This window comes from Homo sapiens, chromosome 14, assembly GCF_000001405.40.
Source record: "Homo sapiens chromosome 14, GRCh38.p14 Primary Assembly".
Lineage (NCBI taxonomy): Eukaryota > Metazoa > Chordata > Mammalia > Primates > Hominidae > Homo > Homo sapiens.
The window spans coordinates 78,025,714-78,049,081 of record NC_000014.9 but is presented as its reverse complement, the minus strand read 5'-3'; the positions used below and the strand labels follow the sequence as shown (position 1 = coordinate 78,049,081).

The 23,368-nt window shown below is 43.2% G+C and overlaps 3 annotated features.

Moving 5' to 3' along the window:
* Window positions 16,189–16,690: an enhancer, noted in NCBI's record as "H3K4me1 hESC enhancer chr14:78498735-78499236 (GRCh37/hg19 assembly coordinates)". NCBI's record gives its function as "activates a minimal SCP1, AML or CMV promoter by ChIP-STARR-seq in naive H9 embryonic stem cells {active_cell/tissue: H9 hESC(naive)}" and the evidence as "EXISTENCE:reporter gene assay evidence [ECO:0000049][PMID:30033119]".
* Window positions 18,527–19,329: an enhancer, noted in NCBI's record as "OCT4-NANOG-H3K27ac hESC enhancer chr14:78496096-78496898 (GRCh37/hg19 assembly coordinates)". NCBI's record gives its function as "activates a minimal SCP1, AML or CMV promoter by ChIP-STARR-seq in naive and primed H9 embryonic stem cells {active_cell/tissue: H9 hESC(naive and primed)}" and the evidence as "EXISTENCE:reporter gene assay evidence [ECO:0000049][PMID:30033119]".
* Window positions 19,330–20,133: an enhancer, noted in NCBI's record as "OCT4-NANOG-H3K27ac hESC enhancer chr14:78495292-78496095 (GRCh37/hg19 assembly coordinates)". NCBI's record gives its function as "activates a minimal SCP1, AML or CMV promoter by ChIP-STARR-seq in primed H9 embryonic stem cells {active_cell/tissue: H9 hESC(primed)}" and the evidence as "EXISTENCE:reporter gene assay evidence [ECO:0000049][PMID:30033119]".

The window sequence follows — 23,368 nt, the reverse complement described above, 5'->3', positions numbered from 1 at the left end:
TAGATTTTGGATATTAGCCCTTTGTCAGATGAGTAGATTACAAAAATTTTCTCCCATTCTGTAGGTTGCCTGTTCACTCTGATGGTAGTTTCTCTTGCTGTGCAGAAGCTCTTTAATTAGATCCCATTTGTCAATTTTGGCTTTTGTTGCCATTAGAGATATACCTAATGTAAATGATGAGTTAATGGGTGCAGCACACCAACATGGCACATGTATACATATGTAACAAACCTGCACGTTGTACACATGTACCCTAGAACTTAAAGTATAATAATAATAAAAAATATATATATATATATAAAAAGTCCCCAAATGCATTAGAAAAGGGAATCTCTCCCATGAGGCTGGACATTCTTTAGAGAAGTGTTTCTCAAAGTGTGGTTCCCAAACCTGGGGAGTTGGAAATGCAGATTCTCAGCATTTGCATCAGACCTACTGAATCAGAAACTCTGGACGCGCAGCCCAGCCATCTGTGTCTTAAAGCCTCCAGCTGATCCTGATGCACACCACAGTTTGAGAACTGCCGCTTTAGAGAAACTCACCAAGAAAGAGACAGAAAACCACCAGCAGCAGCAACAGCAGCAACAGTCCAGGCAACACCTGGTATGAAGAGCCATGCTCACAGTACCTAAAGAAAGGTACAATTTAATACAATGGCTGAAGAGCTCAGGCTCTGCAATTCTCACAGCCCTGGGTTTGAACCCCAGCTTTCACACTTGCTGGCTGCCACTTCCCTTAGCCCCTGCATCTGCAAAATAGAGATAATGATTCCTCCCTCTTAAGGTTGTTCTAAGGACTCAAGAAGACCTTATCTGTTAGGCACTTAGCACAGAACAGCACATTAAGTGAAAGCCACTATACCAGAAGGGAAACTCAAGCAAATCCATCCTCTGCAAAAGTGTTAACATCTCTATGAGTTCAACGTCCTCTGGAACAGCAGTCTAAATGGGGTACTCATACCCTAGTGGGTACAAGCAGACTTGGTTTGGGGGCATGAACAGATTTGTGAAGCTCAGTTTCCAGATCCTCAGTTTTCCTACAGGTTCTCCTGAAACTGATCTGCCTGCAAAGGGGACATGAAGCAAATTCTCTTTCCCTGCCTTCTCTTTCCACAGGAGCCCTTCTCCCACGTAACAGAAGAAAGCCACAGTTCTCAGCTATCCCAAATCTTAATACGATGCATCATGGAATATAAATGTCCAGGGCTCTAACAGAGAGTAAACGGAAATACTGAGGTTGTGAACAATGATTAGATAGCAAATCCATTTGCAAGTGAACAGCTCAAACAATGGGGTAACAAGTTCTTTTCCAAGTCAAGCGGTTCCTACATAACTGAAGGAAGCCCTAATTGAGCTGTAAATTGATAGATGATTAAAGATAATTTTTGATGATAGATCACTGTGACTTTTAAATATATGACTTGAAAGCAGCTCAAATAATTCAAATGTATCAATATTCCTAACATTTCCACCTACTTATGTGAGCAACATTTTCAGCCCTTGTGTCTTAACAAACAAAAAAGAGAATTGTAATTGATGCCAACATTTGTCTCATTCTAGCAATAAGTAATATTTGCCCACAGACACATGAAACAATTTTTAAAAATCCTACCCATCTCATAGCAGGTGCATTTCCAATGTAATTTTACTTTTTGTGTCTAATAATTATATATCAAAATATATAATATAGTTATGTTGTTTTTCTCAATTGTGTAGTAGTAATAATTTTCATAATTCAATCCAGAAGAAATTTTTCAATACTCAGAGCCTTTTAGTCACATGAAATGTTTTAAAATGTTATTTCAATTTATATGCACGTTTTTGTTGCAGAGAAGAATGATGCAGAAATCAATAAAACACTTTCAAGCATAAAATATATTACATTAGGATAAAATTTGGTAGGGAAAGTGGAATGAAAATACAAGTTCAAGGAAAAAAAAGGAATGATGGGAAAATTTATAACTACTAAAGAAAAGCTTGTTTGTGTCTTTTTAAATAGAAGGTAGCAGTATCAAATTACTATTTTATACATATATATGGCTTTCATTAGGAACATATAAAAGAACAATGTAATAGGTTCATTTTTAAATGTCAGTATTTACAATATGCCAAATATTATATCCTTTTCAACTATGCATAGTTACAATTTAAAAAGTAGATATCAAGTCTAAAATATGCAAGGGGGTACATTGTCTTTCAACATTTTTTCAAGAGCTATGCAAGGAAAAAAATGTAAAGACCTTTGCTCTGAAAAACGTCTTCCTTTTTTTCTCCTTTTTTTCAACAATTGAACACAGTAAACAGGAATTACATTCTCAGTGCTATATTAGATGCTAACGAGCATTCCAGAGAAGTAACAGGGTTTGTCTCTGTCAAAGACTGGCCATTTAGTGGAGCCAACCAGAAAACAAGTAAAACATTTGAGGTATGTGCCAGACACTGGTCTTCCCCACATAATATTTATGTTCTCCTGTGTCCTTGCTAAGCAAACCCAGATTGTGTTTAGGACAGCAATGTGCCCAGGTAAGTACTCATTTTTCTCAGCCTCCCTTCCCATTAAGGATGGTCATATGACAAAATTCCAGCCAATTAGATGCAAGTGAACATCTGGGAAGTTCTGAGAAAGCTTTTGCTTTCCTAATAAAATCATAGAGATGAGGCTGGCTCTGGCCGTCCTTTTTTCTAACTTGCATGCAGACACAATGCCCGGAGCTACAGCAATTATGCCAAACTATGAAGCAACAAGCATGAGGACAGAAGCCATTGTATGAAGGATGACAACCTGAGCATGTGGAAAGAGCCTGGGTCCCTGATGACACTGTTCAACAGTGAACTAATGCCAACAAGAGCCCACCTCTGGATCTCCAGCTATATTAAATACATACATTCATGTACCTCTTTTGCTGTAAACTACTGTTCCTTGGGCGTTCCAGTTACTTTTGGTGTGTAACAAGCTACTCTAAAACTTGGTGACATAAAAAAGTCATTTGCATGATGTTTTATGACCTAGACTCATGCAGAAGTCATGTAGTATTGTTTCTGTGGTACTCAGTTGGCCAATGAGTCCCCAGATTCAAGGGGAGGAGACATGGACCCCCACCTCTCAATTGGAGGGGTGTCAAAGAACTTGCAGCCATTTTTTAAACTATTTGTCAAATAAAGATTAAATATATTCAAGGTATATGATGTAATGATTTATGTGTATACTGTATAATGATTAGCACAGTCAAATTCATTACCACCCATCCTGTACATTAAGTCCCCAGAACATTTTCCTCTTATAACTGCAAGTTTTTTCCCTTTGACCAGCATCTCCCCATTTCCCCCACCTTCCAGCCCCTGGCAACCTCCATTCTAATCTCTGCAGCTTCTATGAATTCAACTATTTTAGATTCCACATATAAAAGTGAGATTGTATAATATTTCTTTCTGGGTCTGGCTTATTTCACTTAGCATAATGTCCTCCAGGTTTACCCATGTTGTTGCAAATGGCAGAATTCTTTTCTTAAGGATGAATAATATACCTTTTTTTTTTTTTTTTTCAAAACGGAGCCTTGCTTGGTTGCCCATGCTGGAGTGCAATGGCACAGTCTTGGCTCACTGCAACTTTCACCTCCTAGGTTCAAGCAATTCTCCTGCCTCGGCCTCCAGAGTAGCTGGGACTACAGGCGCATGCCACCATGCCCAGCTAATTTTTGGTATTTTTAGTAGAGACTGGGTTTCACCATGTTGCCCAGACTGGTCTTGAACTCCTGAGCTCAGGCAATCGCCCGCCTCAATCTCCCAAAGTACAAGGATTACAGGCATGAGCCACCGTGCCCGGCCTTTTATTTTTTTATTTTTATTTTTATTTTTTTGAGACAGAATCTCGCTCTGTTGCCCAGGCTGGAGTGCAATGGCACAATCTCAGCTCACTGCAACCTCCACCTCCCGGGTTCAAGCAATTCTCCTGCCTCAGCCTCCCAATTACCTGGGATTACAGGTGCCCGCCACCACACCCAGCTAATTTTTTGTTTTTGTTTTTTTTTTTTTCGGTAGAGACAGGGTTTTGTCATGTTGGCCAAGCTGGTCTTGAATTCCTGACCTCAGGTGATCCACCTGCCTCAGCCTCCCAAAATGCTAGGATTACAGGTGTGAGCACCATGCCCGGCCAATATTCCATTTTATATATCACATTTTCCTTATTCATTCACCCATGGATAGACACATTGCTTCCACATCCTGGATATTGTGAATAGTGCTTCAGTGAACATGTAGGTACAGATGTCTCTTCAAGGTACTAATTTCCTTTCCTTCATGTATATGCCTTCTGGATCATATGGTAGTTCTAGTTTTCATTTGTGGAGGAACTTCCATACTATTTCTGTATTGGTTGTACCAATCTACATTCACACCAACAGTATACAAGGGTTCTCTTTTCCCTACACTTTTCCCAATATTTATCTCTTGTCTTTTTGATAATAGCCATCCTGACAGTGATGAGGTGATATCTCATCATGGTTTACATTTGTATTTCCCTGATGGTTAGTGATGCTGAGCACCTTTTCCTAGACCTATGGCCATTTGTATGTCTTATTTGGAAGAAAATTTCTATTCGGGCCCTTTGCCCATTTTTTAATTGGACTATTTGGTTTTTATGCATCCTTTTTTTTAAACCACAACATTGGTTGGGGTTTTCTTCCTTGCAACTTAACACATTCCTAACTGATACGATGGATGATATAAAATGTACATGAAGTTGAACAGTACAGTTGTGCTGTTTGAGCTCAAAGGAGGAGGGAATGATGAGAGAATTAGTCAAGAAAGCCTTCATCATAAATAAACATTTACTGAGGGTCTGCAGGTACACAGCCCAGAATAAAATGTCTGCAGAAATACGGCAAGACTCGATGTCTGTCTCTAACGCTAAATATGAGTTCAGATCTCAATCTAATATTCACAAGTAACTTGGCTTTGGAAAATCCTAGCTCAGACTCAGTTTCTATAATGGCAAAATTGAAAGCATGTATCACGGTTATGGTGAGGCTTAAATAAATAGCATGAGAAGGGCCTAGCATGTGCATGGCACCTATAATGCTCAATAAATGTTGTACATTTGTTTAGACGTTCAAGGAATATACACATGTGGGAAAATTAAATGAGCATCAAACAGAAAATTGACAGAGAGATAGTATTCCCCAAATGTAAGTCAGAGCCCCAAATCTCCCTTATGATCTCAGCAAGCCCTACTGAAATTGATATGGTGCAAAGTTTAGAGTATTTGGACCAATTTTTGTCTAGTAAAATTGGAACACACTTTAGATCTCCTGGTGCCCAGGCTAAGAGTCAAGGTTTTTTCATGCAAAGCCCATCCCAGCATTGCTACCAATCTGGAAAATTCTAGAGCATTTTTTCACAAGAGGTCAACCATCCAAATCTGGGATAAGTTTTCTAAATATTAGATCTAAACTGATTTATCCCTAAACACATTGGGCCACAATCTTCCTGAATGGATTAAGTCAGACCTTCTATTTTTAGTAGCTAGCTCATTCAGTCACATTTCCTTACTATAAATACCTGAGTGCACTTGTTTTAAAGTAGAATTCTTTTGTCATCTGATTGTCCCAGACTAGATGAGATGCAGATAAGGGACGATAATAAAAAATGGAATGGGGAGAGAACAGAAGAGAGACTGTATTTCTTTAGTCAGCTCACTAGCTATTTCACAGACTCCAAGACCCACAGTAGACTGCACACAGGAGAAAGCCCAGAGGTTCTAGCCCTTTTCAACTCATTAACCTTGAGAAGTTGGCAGCTGTTTGGGACTCAGTGGAGACACCCAGGCTCTTTTCTATCATCTCATCCATTGACAGTTTCCCTTCTAGAGTCCCAGAGCTCAGTCTCCCTACTCAGAGCATGTGGATACTCACCCCAGCTCACAGGCAGGCCGAAGACAGACTCCCCATAGCCTCATCACTCTTTAGTGAAAACTATTTATTGTACTATCTCATATCCATCTGCCTGGAGTCCCAAGGAGGACACTTGTCTTTCAAAAAATATTGATCAAACCCCTACTGAGCTCCAGGCACTATGAAAAGATAGTTCAGAGTCAGATTAAGGGGTGAGTCTGCCAGGCAGGTGCCTGGAGCACCAGCGCATAAGGAAAGGTGCACCAAACCTCACAAGGGTGCTAGTGTGTCACTGGAAACAAGGAGATGGAGGGGAAAATGTTCTTCTCAAAACTCTTCTCAGGAAATGTAGAGTAAGGGTTGAAGGAATATTGTAAAATGATCCTGGATATGTGGCTAAGACCCCTAAAGGCTGTGCTTTCATAGTGGATATTTGTCAAATTAGGGAGGCCGCTATCTAACTATTCTCCTTATTTTAAGGAGGGGCCCATATCTCACTATAGAAATCTGAGGAGCAGATATTCCCTCTCCCATTCTTCAACGGCCTGAGAGACTGACCCAGGCTTGGCCAATTGGATGCTTCTACATAGGACCCTGAATCATGGAAGAAAGTGATGTCAAGACATGGAGCAAATCAAAGATGTCAGAGATGACGCACCAGCCACTGCAGAATCAAGGGCCCCAACATGTTATGGTGAGGTCCGGGGATGGCAGGATCCACAGTGACATGCTAAGGTAACTCTTCTCTGGTTCCTATACATTTTCTGATTCTCCACCATATGCCCAAGATTCTGTAAAACTGCCATCATAAAACCCTTTTTTGCTTAAATTTTTGTTTAAATTTCTGTTTTTCTTCTTCTACACTGGAAGAATATTTGAGTATCAACAGAAGCTGCCTTCTAAGGACAATGGGGCCAGTTATCTTCAGGACATTCATCTCAGGCAGGGGCTAAATTGGTTAAAGGACAGGGAAACTGACGTTCCACCAGTAGTCTTCCTTCCCCACTCTTCTACTCACTCTCCCAGTTTTCAGCTCCTCCCCCAAATTGAAGTTGAACATTTCATTTGAACAAATATACTGATTCAAGGAGGGCAAGATGTTGTCACCAGTCTACCAAGATTCCCACATGTCTCAGTCTGGGCACCCCACCTGAAGATCTCAGAGGGTTACCAAAGCTCACTTATGTAGACTTCAGACACCATGGGACCACTGTGATCCCAAGCAGCAGCTAATAGGGAGTAAAGTCTCCAGGGCTCTGACAGATAAGTGAAATGCAGATGTGTTCCAAATAATAGAAAAGAAAAAAGCATTCATCAAATATTTCCCAAGACAATTCATACATTATGACCAAGTGGGGTATATCCTAGGAATGCAAGGCTGGCTTAACATTCAAATGTCAATCAATGTAATTCACCATATTAACATAACCAAAAAAAAGACCATATGATTATCTCCATTGGTTCAGAAAAATATTAGGAAATGGTTCATAATAAAAGTTCTCAGTAAGCTAAGAACAGGGGAAAAAAAAATCCTCAATCTGATAATGGATATCTCTGGCAAACTTACAGCTAACATTATACTTATGGGGAAAGACTGGATGCTTTCCCCTTAAGATCAAGAACAAGGTAAGACTATTTGCTCTCACCACTTTTATTCAACATTATACTGAAGGTCTTGACAACTTTAATAAGGCAGCAAAATAAACAAAAGGCATCTAGATATCAAAAGAAGTAAAACCATCTTTGTCACAGATGACACGATTGCTTATGTAGAAATCCTTTAAAATCTGCAAAACAGCCAATTTTAGAAAGAACACAGGATCGAGGTCAATATTTTAATAATTTCTACATGACAGAAACAAAGAATTAGAAATTAAAATTTAAAAGATATTAATTTTTTACAATACTGTATTAGTTCTTTATTATTGCATAATAAATTACCTTAAAATTTGACAGCTTAAAGCAATAAACATTGTATTTTTTATCTCACACAGCTTCTGAGAGTCAGGAATCTGGGAGCAGCTTCACTGGGTGGCCTGGCTTAGGGTCTCTTGAGGTTGTAGTCCAGATGTCAGCGAGGGCTGCTGACATCTGAAGGCCTGACCAGGGCTGGAGGATCCACTTCCAAGAAGACTCCTGCACAGTGTTGATGGAGACCTCAGTTCCTCGTTGAGGAAAGTTCTAGTTTCCTCGTTGAGGAAAATCTAGTTCCACATAGACCTTCCAATAGAGCTGCTCCCAGTGTCCTCTAGAACAGGCAATTCAAACAAGAGCAAAGAAGACATGATGTCTTTTATGTCTTTTAGTACCACCTAGTCTCAGAAGTAGCATTCTATCACTTCTGCTATATTCTCCTGGTCACACAGACCAACCCTGGTACCATGTGGGGGATAGGAGGGACTGTACAAGGGTATGAATACCAGGAGGGAAGGATCACTGGGGGACAATCTGGAGGCTGGTTGCCACAAACACCATTTACAATAGCATCAAAAAATATGAAACACTTGTGGATAAACTTAACAAAATATACAGTAGTCCCTCCTTATCCACAGGGGATATAGTTGAAGACCCCCAGGGGATGCCTGAAACTGTGGATAGTACTGAACTCTATAGACGCTATGTTTTTTCCATACATACATATGATAAAGTTAAATTTATAAAATAGGCACAGTAAGAGATTAGCAACAATGACTAATAATAAAACAGGATAACTATAACAAGATACTGTAATTAAAGTTACATCAATGTGGTCGGTCTCTCTCTCTCTCTCAAAATATCTTTTATTATACCATGGGTAACTGAGACCTTGGAAAGTGAAACCATGGATAAGGGGGAGCTACTGTATGCTAAACCTCTACACTGAAAACAACAAAATAGCCACCGAAAAAAAAAGACCCAAATAAGTGATGACATATATGTTTACAGATTGGAAATCTCAGTATTAGGGTATCAGTACCTCCTAAACTATTGGGATTCAATGTAATCTGCATCATAATGCCACCAGGTTTTTCCTTATCAGAAATTGACAGCGTGATAATAAAATTTATATGTAAATGCTCAGAACTTAAAATAGCCAAAACAACTTTGAAAAAGGAGAACGAAGTTGGAGGATTCAGACTACCTCCTACACTACATGCTAAAATAGTGTAAGAGCTACACTATTTTAAGATTTGCCATAAAGCTACAATAATAAAGATAATGAGCTATTAACATAGGGCAGACATATAGATCAATGAAACAGAATAGAAAGTCCAGAAATAGATCCACTCAGATACGGTCAATTGATTTTTGACAAAAATGCCAAGGTAATCCGATGGAAAAAGATCTTCAACAAATGTTGCTAGGACAATTGAATATCCACAAGCAAAAAATACGTCTTGAAACTTGCTTCACACTATGAATGAAAATTTACTTAAAATTGATCATAGGCCTAAATGTAAAAGCTAAATTAAAAACTAGAAGGAAACATAAGAGAAAAATTTTGTGACCTTAGTAAAGGCAAAAATTCTTAGTATATAGAAACATGTACTCTAGAAGAAAAAAATTTTTGATAAATCAGACTAGCTCAAAATAAAATCCTCCTATTCTTTGAAAGACAGAATTTTTTAAAAAGGCAAACCATAAACAGAAAAAGTATATGTGCAATACATACATCTGTAAAAAGGCTTATATCTAGTATATACGAAGAACTCTTGTAGCTCAATAATAAGATATTAACTCAATTAAAAAGAAGCAAAAGATTTGAATAGACACTTCACAAACGAAATACAAATGGCAAATATGCAAATGAAAATATGCTCAACATCACTGTCATTAGGAAAATGCAAATTAAAACCACACGATACTGCTACCACCACTAGAATAGCTGAAATTAAAAAGAGAGCAGTACCAAGAGTTGGCAAGTATGGGGAGCAACTGGAGATCTCATACTTTGCTGGTAGGAATGCAAAACAGGGCTGGGCATGGTCGTTCATGCCTGTAATCCCAGCACTTTGGGAGGCCGAGGCAGGCGGATCACTTGAGGTCAGGAGTTCAAGACCAGCCTGGCAAATATGGCAAAACCCCGTCTCTACTAAAAATACAAAAATTAGCCAGGCATGGTGACACACACCTGTAATCCCAGCTACTCAGGAGGCTGAGGTGGAGAATCGCTTGAGCCCAGGCTGCAACCCAGAGGTTGCAGTGAGCCAAGATCGCACCAATGCACCCCAGCCTGGGTGACAGAGCAAGACTCTCCACAAAAAGAAAAAAACAAATGCAAAATCATATAGCACTTTTGAAAAGCCTGGCAGTTTCCTGTATAGTTACATATTCACTTACTATATGACCCAGCAATCCCCTGGGTATTTATAAGTGAGGAAACTGAGGCAAAAGAAGAACAAGCTTATCTAAGTACTACAGTTTGAATGTTTGTCCCCTCAGAAACTCATGTTAAACTTAATTCCCGACCAAGTGGGGTGGTTCACACCTGTAATCCCAGCACTTTGGGAAGCCAAGTCAGGCAGGTGACTTGAGGCCAAGAGTTAGAGAGCAGCCTAGCCAACATAGTGAAACCCTGTCTCTACCAAAAAAAAAAAAAAAAAAAAAAAAAAAAAGCCAGGCATGTTGGTGTGCATCTGTATTCCCAGCTACTCAGGAGGCTGAGGCAGGAGGTTCACTTGAACCCAGGAGGTGGAGGTTGCAGTGAGCTGAGATCAAACCTCTGCACTCCAGCGTGGGTGACAGAGTGAGATCCTGTCTCAAAAAAGAAAAAACAAAACAAAACTTAATCCCCATTGTAATGGTATTAAAAGGTTGGGCCTTTTAGGGTGGGTAGAATATTAGTTTGCTAGGGTTGCCGTAATAAACTACTACAGACTGGGTGACTTAAATAACAAATTTATTTCTCACAGTTCTGGAGGCTGGAAGCCCAAGATCAGGGTGTCAGCAGTTTTGGTTTCTCCTGGGGCCTCCCTCCCTGGCTTGTGGGCCGTCTTCTGGCTGTGTTCTCATCTGGCCTTTCCTCCGTGTGTGAGCACACCTAGTGCCCCTTCCTCTTCTTATAAGGACACCAGTCCTATTGGGCTAGGGCCTCACCCTTAAGCCCTCATATCATCTTAATCACCTCTTCAAAGGTCCTGTCCCCAAATACAGTCACATTGGAGGTTAGGGTTTCAAAATATGAATTTGGGGGAAAAATATAATTCAATTCATTACAAGGGGCTACGTAATAATCACACAAGACACAAGTGAACCCCAAATTTATCCAAAATGCATTTGCTGGGCATCTGGACACCAGGCTCTACCCAGGCACATTTTCATATCGCCTTCTAGTGATTCTTCATACAGTTGTGCCTCTTTTAATACAATGGATGGGATTTTGTCCTGTAAATTGAATTCTTATGAAATGGGAGAAAAGAGAAAAGAACTGAGGCTTAACTATTTCTATGCCTCAGTCTACCGCAGACCAAGATGAGAGAAAAACCCCTGAAGAAGAGTGAAAGGAGGGGACTGAACCACCTGGAAGACAAAGGACCCCAAACTGAAAACAGAGCACCCGTTTCCTCCAGTCATCAGAACATGCGAATCCAGCCACCTGGGTGCAGTTTCAACATAATTTATTCAACTCGTCAACTATTTACCAAGCATCAGTTATAACCAATAATAGCAAAGCTGTCATTCCCTGAGGCAGAATTGATAAGGGGTTAGGAGGGCAGGCTCTACCTTTGAAAGAATGAGGTCAAGCTATATGGAACAATCTCTAAGATAATAAGTGACAAAAATTAGGTGCAAAACAGTACTGTAGCAAAGGGTATTTGTAGAAAGAACAGGAGATATATATGCTTGTTTATGCAGAGAATACTGTAACCATGGGAACAGCCCAAACTGGACCTATTCTGTTAACAAAATGTCCAGTTACCTTTTAGGTACAACAGAGCCAGAAACTGCAAGTGCATGCAACTGAAAAAGACTTTGCCTCTAAAAACATCTGAGATCAACAATTCCTCCCCTCAGAACCAAGGAAACTGGGACATGACCAGAACCTGAACACCAGAACTCTTTCAGAAGCAAGGAGTCCATTGGCCTGGAAGATCTGGTGCTAAAATCTGCTTCAGCATCCCTTACCACAAATGGTCAAATTTGAAGCCCTCCAACCAGACCCTGCCAATTTAACATTCCTAAATCCTGGCTGGGCATGGTGGCTCACACCTGTAACCCCAGCTCTTTGGGAGGCCAAGGCAGGATCACGAGGTCAGGAATTCGCGACTAGCCTGGCCAACATGGTGAAACCCCATCTCTACTAAAAATACAAAACTTAACCGGACATGGTGGTGGGCACCTGTAATCCCAGCTACTCGGGAGGCTGAGGCAGGAGAATTGCTTGAACTTGGGAAGCGGAGGTTGCAGTGAGCCAAGATCGCGCCATTGCACTCCAGCCTGGGGAACAAGGGCAAAAACTCCGTCTCAAAAAATAAAATAAAATAAAATAATTCCTAAATCCTTTCTCTTTCCCTCTAATCCCTTAAAATTTAGACCCCAAATGATGGAGACAGATTTAAGCGCACTCTTGTCTCCTTGCTGACTGGTTTTGTGATAAAGCCTTTCCTTTCTCAAAAGCCAGTGCCATAGTTATTAGCTTCTGTGCACATTGGGCAGTGAGCCCATTCGCCAAATAAAAATATCTCTGGAAGGATTAAAAAAAAAAAAAAAACTAGTAAAACTTATACTATTTTTGGCCACAATGGAATAATAGAGAACAGATTTATCCCCTTGCCTTGCAAAACAACTTAAAAAAAAAAAAACAGACAAAATAAAACAATAGTTTTAAGACACTGAGCGTCAGACAGTACAGGACTGCTAAGAGAAGGTAAAAGAAGGGAAACAAAAGAGGAGAGTCCTACAATAACCTCAGCTTACGGCCTGAAGTTTGCTTCCAGGCCACGATGCAGGGAGGAGGAACTGAGGCAGAGCTCAGTGGTCTCCCTGAATTAAGAAGACAGAGATTGCAGTTCAGGGTGGCCAAAGCAGCTAAATTTGCAGAGCCAAGAATCAGAGAAGAGAAAGCTGCATACAGAAGCGCTCCAGTGATTGGCAGAGGGGTCCCCTATGGTCTGGGCCTGGGTGCTGACTGGCACATGTGTAAGAAGCAGCTACCTGCAGCTGGGAAAGGACCACTGGAGAACAGGAAGCCAAGCAATTTTCAGATATCACATAGGGCTGGAAATAGGTTGTGTTCCCAACAGCCAGAGATGAAAGACCTCATAATACGCGGGGCATTGGGTAGAATACTCAGAAGTGGGGGTACACTAGCCCTAGACTAAAGACTATTCTGGATCAGCATAATGAAGCTTCAAAGTAGGATTTCAGGAGCGGATGATTAGGGGGCAGGAGTGAAAGGGGGTGCTCACAGCCAGCGCTTGAAGTATAACTACTTTGTCACTGTACATCCTTTTATGCTGTTCAGAATTTTTACTGTGTGCATTTCTTTTTAAAAACATTTTACAGGAGGAAAACTCTAAAATCAAACTGCCAGGGTGACAATCTGGCTCCAGTCCTTGTGAGCTATGTAAACTCAGGCAAGTCACTCAACCACCCCAAGCCTCGGTTTTCTCATTGGTGGAGTGGATTTTCTTTGGATTGTTGTGAAGATTAATTGAAATGTTCATAGAAGAACTAGAAGTGCCTGGCACTTCTGTACAAATGCTGTTTTTGCTTCCCTCTAATCCATTTCTCATGTTTCTGGCAAAAGCACCCCATTTTTATTTTGGGGAACATCCCTGCCCCATTCAGTCCACATGTTTCAGGAGGGCATGATTCCATCCCAGCTCCAGGGATAGGAGTGTTACCCAGGCCTGACCAATCACCACGTTTCATGCCCCAGCACAGGAAGTAAATTGGCCAAATGAAGGTGGTACTGAGACTCTAGCTGAAAATGTTGAGAAAGAGATACCCTCTTTCCACTAGGGTTGCTACATGAGTAGACTGAAGCTGCTGCTGGTCATTTTCAGGAAGCCAGCTTAAGAATTAAACCAAGACAGAGGAAAACAGAGCCTAGAGATGGATGGAGACGCCAGGCACGGTGGCTCACGCCTGTAATCCCAGCACTTTGGGAGGCCAAGGTGGACGGATCATGAGGTCAGGAGTTCGAGACCAGCTTGGCCAACATGGTGAAACCCCATCTCTACTAAAAACACAAAAATTAGCCAGGCGTGGTGGTGCACGCCTGTAATCCCAGCTACTCAGGAGGCTGAGGCAGGAGAATCGCTTGAACCTGGGAGGCGGAGGTTGCAGTGAGCCCAGATTCCACCATTGCACTCCAGCCTGGGCAACAGAGAGAGACTCCCTCTCAAAAAAAAAGTCGGGGGCCGGGCGCAGTGGCTCAAGCCTGTAATCCCAGCACTTTGGGAGGCCGAGGTGGGTAAATCACCTGAGGTCAGAAGTTCGAGACCAGCCTAGCCAACATGGTGAAACCCCTGTCTACTAAAAATACAAAAATTAGCCAGGCATGGTGGCACATGCCTGTAGCTCCAACTACTTGGGAGGCTGAGGCAGGAGAATAGCTTGAACCCAGGAGGCGGAGATTACACTGAGCTGAGATCACGCCACTGCACTCCAGCCTGCGCGACAGATCAAGATTCCATCTCGAAACAAAACAAAAAGAAGAAGAGATGGAGGGAGACACAGTCCGGATGATGTTGTTTGAGTATCTGGATCCAGCCATGCCTAAAGCCAGTTTCTGTCATTTGCAACCAGAAGAGGCCTGACAACTTTAGAAGTAGTTATCACTAATCAATTCATTCAACAAAACACTGAGCCCAGACAAGACACCAGAACTGTGCTAAGAGCTAGACATTCAAACATGAGGTCCTTTCCTTCAAGAGGTTTAGTGGAGGCAACAGACACTAATGCAAAGTGACAACTACTGAGATAGATAGTCCCTGGTGCAGTAGGTGAGGTGCCTAAACTGAAGCTCAATGGATGCTGAAGAAGTAGTCAGGAGAAAAGAGGAAGTAAGAGAATACCAGACAAGGAGGTGAGAGAAAGATGGCGAGACAAGGGAGCAGTGAAGAGACAGGGGCTAATGAAATGAGCAAGGAGAAAATCACGAAGCACTTCATACTTCATGCCCGAGAGTGTGGACTTCATATTCTGATCATTATGGGCTGCCATTCAAAGATTTAAATCAGGGGAGAAATAAGATCAGATTTTTGTGTGGAGAATAGATTGGAAGGCAACACAGGTAATGGAGGCCAATTAGGAGGAGGTGGGAGTAATCCATGCTTAAAATTATAAGGGACTGAATTAAGAAATTAGTAGGGATGAAGAAGTGTTTTAAAAAATGAATTTGAGATGTTTTAAGGAGGAAAATTGACTGGACCTGGAGCTAAAGGATAATGTTTGGAATATTAAAATAGGAATAATAATTAACATTTTTATAGTACTTACTCCCCATCAAGTCCTGCTGTAATGCTTTACATAAATTAACTCCTTCAATCCAGCCCCATGAGGTAATACTATTGTGATTTCTTACTTTACAGACGAAGAACTGGGCCACTAAGAGGTGAAATTAACCAATCTAAGGTTATACTCTATCAAGTGATGTAATTGCATTCAGAATGGTGGCAACTCAGGACCCCAGCCAATGCTGTAAGCCACTACACTCACTGCCTTTCTCATGCCCATTGTTTAAAAGGTAGGCAAAAAATAAGAGGAGCTAGCAAAAGAGAATAAAAACAACAGAAGAGGCAGGGTGTAGCCTGGACAGTGTATTGTCACTGAAACAAGGAAGGAGAAAGCTTATTTCTTAACTCAGGTGTAATTAAATACCCAATCATGTAATTGGAGAAAAACAGGCTGGGCTTAGCTTGGAAGAGTGGGAAGTATTTTCTCACATATTCTCTCTTTTGTTTTACATTTCTATGAAAGAGATGTTTTTATAGCCCCACCCTAGCCATGTGGAAACTGAGGCTCAGAGAGCTCAGGGCTAATAAGTGACCTGGATATGATCTGTGTGCCAAGCTCGGTTCACTGTAGTGCCGTCCAGGGCCCCAGGGGTGTATTGGGTAGAAGAGGGGCACACAAGGATGGTCACATCCTCTGCTCCCAGTGGGTCTGTAATCTTGTCGCTCTAATGAGGCGAGAGCAGATGAAAACATTAGGATAGCGCTAAGGCAACACAGAGGTGTGCACCTGGCTGAGTGGTGCAGACTCCGAGTGCCTAGAGCAGGTGAGAAGGCGGTGCTCTGGTGGTGGCAGGTGAGGTAGACATGGGTGGGGCATTGAAGGAAATACAGGGATTGCCTGGGCTGGGCCATCCCCCGGTGCCCTGATTTGGTAGTGGGCATCTGCTGTTTCTGCCTTTGCAGCTGCCCTGCTGTGTCCCGCCCAACTGGGAATCCACACAGTTTGGATAGGGCTGACCTCATGCATCTCTCAGAGTGCAGGGGGTGGGCACTAGATGCCAGCCTGGCCAGTCACTGGGTTTCATTCCCTTCAACCCAGTGATTGGCTCTGGACTCAATCCAGCCCAACAAGGCTCAATCTCAGGTGGGTGCTGGGAACATGGAGAAGGGGAAACACTCTCTCCTGGATGGCTGGATCTAGAAGTAAAGGTAGCCTGGAGGTGCTGGGCCCGTGTTGTGGAAAGGTCACTCTGAGAGTAAGGCCCATATGGAGGAAAGGGGAGAGGAAGGGGAGAGATCTAATGTTTGAGCCCCTGGATCCAGCCACACCTGACTGCAAACATCCCTGGAAGTTATTTGAATCAATAAATTCCCTTCATTTTTGATGTCAGTATAAGTCAGGGTTTCTGTCACTGGCAAGTGAAAGGGGTTTTGTTGCCACAGAACCCCAAAGATGGTATTATGCTCCAGGAAACAAGCCAGCATCAGTCCACCCTACTGAAAGGATAGGAGTTGGGGAAGGGCGTATAGTGAAGTAAAAGCTATCAGAAAAAGGAAAATGCAAAAGAAAATTTTAACAATGACCCATGATGTTGTAGTCAAGCACATGGGTAATAAAACCTAGGTCTGTAAACTAAAGCTGACCTCTTGCCTGTGTAACTGGAGTTTGTTATATATTTCATTGACTGGTACTGATTATAAACCTGTTTATCAATTGTAGAACAAAAAGCAGAATTAGTCACCCTCCATCAGATCCTAAGATGCCTAACCTTTCTTTCTCTCTACCCACTGAACCTCATAGTCACCCTATCTTAGGTACAGCCTCACTGAGCAGCAACGAGAATTTTTTTTTTTTTTTTTTTTTTTTGAGGAAGTCTCCCTCTGTTGCCCAGGCTAGAGTGCAGTGGCCCAATCTCAGCTCACTGCAACCTCTGCCTCCTGGATTCAAGTGATTCTCCTGCCTCAGCCTCCTGGGTAGCTGGGACAACAGGCATGCACCATCACGCCCAGCTAATTTTCATATTTTTAGTAGAGACGGGTTTCACCATGTTGGCCAGGCTGGTCTGGAACTCCTGACCTCAAGTGATCCACTGCTTTGACCTCCCAAAGTGCTGGGATCACAGGTGTGAGCCACCGCATCTGGCCAGCAATGAAAACATAACTCCTGCTACACCTCCTGCTTCTCCCACCTTCTGTGCCACACATGCCCCCTGTTAGAAAACGTGTATGCTGTGAATCATGGAACCAACTTCAGGACACATTCTCAGTCTGTACTGAGTCAGTGTTCCCAGGCTTCAGTCCTCAAGAATAAATCTAACCATGATTTCTCCAAGTTTGGTTGACAGGGCCATGAAAGAGAAAAGGCTTCTGTGGAGGGTGAGACTACTTTGGACTTCACAGAAGGGGTTGTAGTTTCAAATGTATCTCTAAACATTTCACCAAATGGCACTGGGGAAGGTGTAATGCAGGAGGAAAAGGACAGCTCCACATGCGAAGGCAGAGAAATAGAAAAGTACAGAGTATGTTCAGGGTGCCACATGCGGTGGGATTTGGCTAGAGGACAAAGTGATGAGAGGCCATCGTGAAAGGTAAGATTGCAAAGGTGCATTAGAAGGCCTCAAATGCCAGGGATGTTTGGGGACACAGATATGACAGTGTCATGGGATCAGAGACATGTTCCTCCTCTATGGCCTCTAGACTTTTAAAAAAGAATTTTAACTTTTTATTTTATTTTTGAGACAGAGTCTCACACTCTGTTGCCCAGCCTGGAGTGCAGTGGTGGGATCTCAGCTCACTGCAACCTCTGCCTCCCAGGTTCAAGCGATTCGCCTGCCTCAGCCTCCTAAGTAGCTGGGATTACAGGCTTGTGCCACCGCACCCAGCTAACTTTTGTATTTTTAGTAAAGACAGGGTTTCACCATATTGGCCAGGCTGGTCTTGAACTCCTGATGTTACGATCTGCCCGCCTCAGCCTCCCAAACTGCTGGGATTACAGGCGTGAGGCACTGCACCTGGCCAAATTTTAACTTTTATTTAGATATAGGGGGTACATGTGCAAGTTTGTTACACGGGTATATTGCACCCAAGTAGTGGGCATAGAACCCAGTAGGTAGTTTTTCAACCCCTCCCTCCCTCTCCACGCTGGTACTCAGCAGTGTCTATTGTTCTCATGTTTATGCCCATGTGTGCTCAATGTTTAGCTCCTACTTACAAGCAAGAACATGTAGTATTTGGTTTTCTGTTCCTGCATTAATTTGCTTAGGAGTATGGCCTCCAGCTCCATCCACGCTACTGTAAAAGACATGATTTCACTCTTTTTTATGGCTACATAGTATGCCATGGTGTATTTGTACCACATTTTCTTTATCCAGTCCACCACTGGTGAACATCTAGGTTGATTCCATGTCATTGCTATTGTGAATAGCACAGCGATAAACATATGAGTACATTTTTGGCAGAATGATCTATTTTCTTTTGGGTCTATACCCGGTAATGGGATTTGTATCTTAGGGAAACCAGAGCAGGCTCCTAAGATGTCACAAAGCAAGTAAAGAGCTAAGTGTCCAGCTAAGAAATGACGGAGGTTCTGTTCCCTGGCTCCACTCCGTGGGGCAAGAGACTACATCCTATCTCTGAACCTGGGTCCCCTCCTCCCTGCTCCCGCCGAGCCCAGGACAGGAGATGAAATGGATCCTCACACAGGCGAGGTCCAAGAGGAGCTTCCCCCCCGCCAGGGTCCCCCACCAGGACACCCCAGCCCTGGGGAGGGGGCACTGAGTTTCCTGGCACCCCTCAGTCTCCCTTACAGTGCCTCTCAGCACCTCACAGCAGCCGCAGCCAAGGGGATTTGTCCCTGCTGCTTGAGTTAATTACAGTAATTATACCTGCTCCCTCTTCGGCTCTGGTTCCCTTTGTTCCCAGTTTCCTGCCCGCTCATTTGCAAATCTAATCGCTCTTGGGATTGAATTTTTTTTTAAGAGAGAAGGGGGATGGAGAAACAAAGAGAGAGAGCAGAAAATGTGGGAGAGAAAAGATGGGGGTGGGGAGGGGCCCGCCGGAGATACAGTGGTGGAAAAAATGGACGGGAGCATCAGAGAAGGGACAGGACTTGGGAGCAGCAAAGCACCTCTCCTTTACGGCAGGGGGAACCCCAGAGTCACCAGTGGAAGCTGGGAAGGTAGCACTGCGGAGACCACAGTCTCCATGGTCTTCTGGGCTTTCTGCTCAGTCCCCCGACTTCTCCCAGGCTAGTGATGGTAGTGATGGGGTTTAGGACATGCTCCCCCAAAATATGGCACCTTGGCATTTCAGGACACAGCAGAAGCAGGCCATCGAAACTAGAAAGAATTCTTCTCATCCCTACACCCCAGAAGAGGCCATAAAACCCAGCTATGAGCCACTCATTCCAGCAGAGTCCTCCCTGTACCTGGAAGAAAAGAATGTTCTTATCCTCAGGTGGGCATGGAGGCTCACACCTGTAATCCCAGCACTTTGGGAGGCTGAGGTGGGTGACCACTTGAGGTCAGGAGTTTGAGACCAGCCTGGCCAACATGGTGAAAACCCATCTCCACTAGAAATACAAAAATTAGCCGGGCGTGGTGGCATCTGCCTGTGGTCCCAACTACTCAGGAGGCAGAGGCAGGAGAATCACTTGAACCAGGAAGGCAAAGGCTACAGTGAGCCAAGATTGTGCCACGGCACTCCAGCCTGGGTGACAGAGTGAGACTCCATCTCAAAAAAAAAAAAAAAAAGAAAATAAAAGAATGTTCTTATCCTCAAAGACACTTATCTAAGAAAAATCTGAATAAACAGGCCTTGCTAAGCTCCCTCCAGTTTCCCACCATCAGATCACACCCTTCTGTCCTCCAGCTATACTTCTGCACAGCCATCCATAAAAATAGAATTGTCCCTGTTTGGGGAGGGTCTTCATTTCTGAATGCTCTCATGTCATATAAAACTTATATTAAACAAATATGTATGCTTTTCTCCTGTTAGTCTGTCTTTTATTATGGGTGCCTCAGCCAGGAATCTTGTAATGGGTGAGAAATCTTCCTCCCCTACACCAGCCTGGCACAGATGACAGGAAGCTGGAAAGAGGCTTGCGTTCAAACACTACCAGAGGATGTCCCTGCTCCTTCATTACTGCTCTCCCCAAGAATCTGTGGAACTTTGGCTCATTCAGAACACCTGGCAGACACTTCAGTGTCAGATGGCTGAGAGGCCAAAGTGGGGAAGTCACACACAGAGCAGGATGGAAGCTGAAAAAATTCCAGGAAGGAGAAATCTGAGACAGCAGTGGTAGGTCTTTCCTCTCTCATTCAGTCCCCTCTCCTGGAAACCCGTAGAAAACATCCAGGTCCAACAGGGTGTGGTGGCTCACACCTGTAATCCCAGCACTTTGGGAGGCCAAGGTGGGTGGATTAGCTGAGGTCAGGAGTTTGAGACCAGCCTGGCCAACATGGTGAAACCCCGCCTGTACTAATAACACAAAAATTAGCCGGGTGTGGTGGTGTGCACCTGTAATCCCAGCTACTCAGGAGGCTGAGGCAGAATTGCTTGAACCTGGGAAGCAGAGTTTGCAGTGAGCCGAGATCACACCACTGTATTCCAGCCTGGGCCACAAGAGCGAAACTCTATCTAAGAAAAGGAAAGGAGAGGGGAGGAGAGGGGAGAGGAGGGGAGGGAAAATCCGGGTCCAAGGATTTTCCAAACGTGCTCTAAGGAGCTCTAAGGCTTCATGAGGAATCCCCAAGGGGAAGGGAGAGGGAACGACAAGTGGGTACCTATATCCTCCCAACACCCCGTCAACAACCTTTTTGTGTGAAAATAATACAAACTAAAAGAAAAAGAATTCCCTGCTATCAACAGATTGGAAAACAACTGATCTAATGCAAATATCTCATCTGTCAGGCATAAGAAACTGAGGCTCAAATGGGTCAAGTGGCATGTCCTATATCACACAAGAATCAGACCACAATCCTCTTGACTCTGAGTCGAGGGGGATTTCCACCACCCCATGCTGTTTCTTGGATGCCAAGGGGATGCCGGGGATTTTCCCAAAGCCCCTGGCTCTTCTTGGGTCCCTCTGGAAAGAGAGGAATGTGACTGCTGGCCTCGTCCTGCCAGAAGCCCTTGGTGAATCCAGGAGTCTTGCTCTTCTGTCCTCTGAATGAGCTCGATAGGTGGTGTGCGAAGAGCGTGTTTTCCAAAAATGGCTGCGACTGTATTTCCCACATTCTCTATTTAGAACCTGGCCACCACCACCACTACCACCCACAAAGAGGTAGACTCCATTTCTTGAGACTGGCAAGGACTTTGTGACTGCCACAAAGAATAAAATATGGCAGAAGTGATACTCCTGTTATATAGTTTCCAGATATTATTTGGATTAACTTGGCAGAATTTCCTATTAATTCACCAGGAAAGGTCAGAGTTCAGGACCATTTGGAGGTGGAAGTGGGAATGGGAGTGGGTGTCAAGAACATCCTACAAATCAACTCTTCCAGATGACAATTTCCCACCTGGGATTCAGCCAGTGTTTACTGAGTGCCTACCATGAGTCAGACGCAGAACAGAGTCCCCGCCCTAAAGGAGCACAGTATAATTGGGGAGGCAGGCACATCCACACTCAGAAGTAATTATAATGCAATAAGTTAAGTTGCCGTTAAAAATAAAAGTTTTGGGGTACTTTGGGAACAGTCAGGAGTATCAATCTCAAATGTTTAGTCTGGGATGGTTCCTATCCATTCAGAGGTGTAAATGTCATCTCATGGTTTTTAGCCCTTGGAATCTAAATCCCTAGTCCAATCCCTAGAACTAAAGGCTTGTGGTACACCCTTGCTTAGAAACAGTCCAGGCTTAATAAATATCTTTTTACATTTTATATAACCCTGTGGAAGACAGGGTTAGCTGTCCCCAAAAATCTACTGTCCCATTCTCCAGAATAACAGGAACCCTGTGTTTTTTGGCTGGGTTTCATGGCCACCTGGAATAGGGATTACATTTCTCAGCCTCCCCTCCTTGAAGCTATATGTGGCCATATGACCAAGTTCTGGCCAATGAGATGTATAGTAGGTGATAAATAAAACTTTTGAGTTGTGTCCTTAAAGGGAGGGAACATGCCCTTCTTGACACCATTTCCTCCTCCTTCCTGCCTGAAATAAGGACATGGTATTGAGGTATTCTGTATGATGCAGATGAAAGAAATGCCTTAGAAATGGCCAAACATGGGTTTCTTGTACCTTAGAGCTCTGTTCCAGCTCTGGTCTGCCTAGCAGCAGACTATTGCTATTCCATGAGAGAGAAATAAGCCCTTGTCCTATTTAAGACACTATTATTTGAGGGGTTATATTAGTCTGGGTTCTTCAGAGAAACAGAACCAACAGGGGATAGGTATGTATATTGTCTTACTTGGTTACGAAGGCTGAGAAGTCCCAAGATCTGTATCGGCAAGCTGGAGACCCAGGAGAGCTGATAAGGTAGTTCTAGCACAAATCCAAAGGCCCAGGAACGAGGAGAGCCAACAGTGGAAGTTTTAGTCCAAGCCCAAAGGCCTGAGAACTAGCAGAGATAATTGTGTAAGTTCCAATCTAAATCTGAGCCCAAGTCCAAATGCAGGAGAAAACCCATGCCCCAGCTCCAAGACAGAGAGCAGATCCTCTCTTCCTCAGCCTTTCATTCTGTTCATCCCTTCAATGGATTGGAGGATGCCTACCCACATTGGAGAGGGCCATCTGCTTTATTCAGTTTACCAATTCAGAGGTTCATCTCCTCCAGAAACGCCTTCACAGAGGGACTCATCCAGAATAATGTCTAACCAAACATCTGAATATTCCATGGCCCAGTCAAGCTGACACATAAGATTTATCATCACAGGGGTCTGTGTTACTAAATCAACTCCTAACAAAAATTGTCCATTAACTTAAACCATTAGCTATTTATTCCTGTGTGCATGCCTACCCCCTCCTCCCCCAACACACACACACACACACACACACACACACACACACACACACACACGCACTCACTGTGCCCTAGCTCCCAGTAGACACTCGAGAATGAACTGAAGAATTTGTTGTTTGATGAGATCAATGGCACA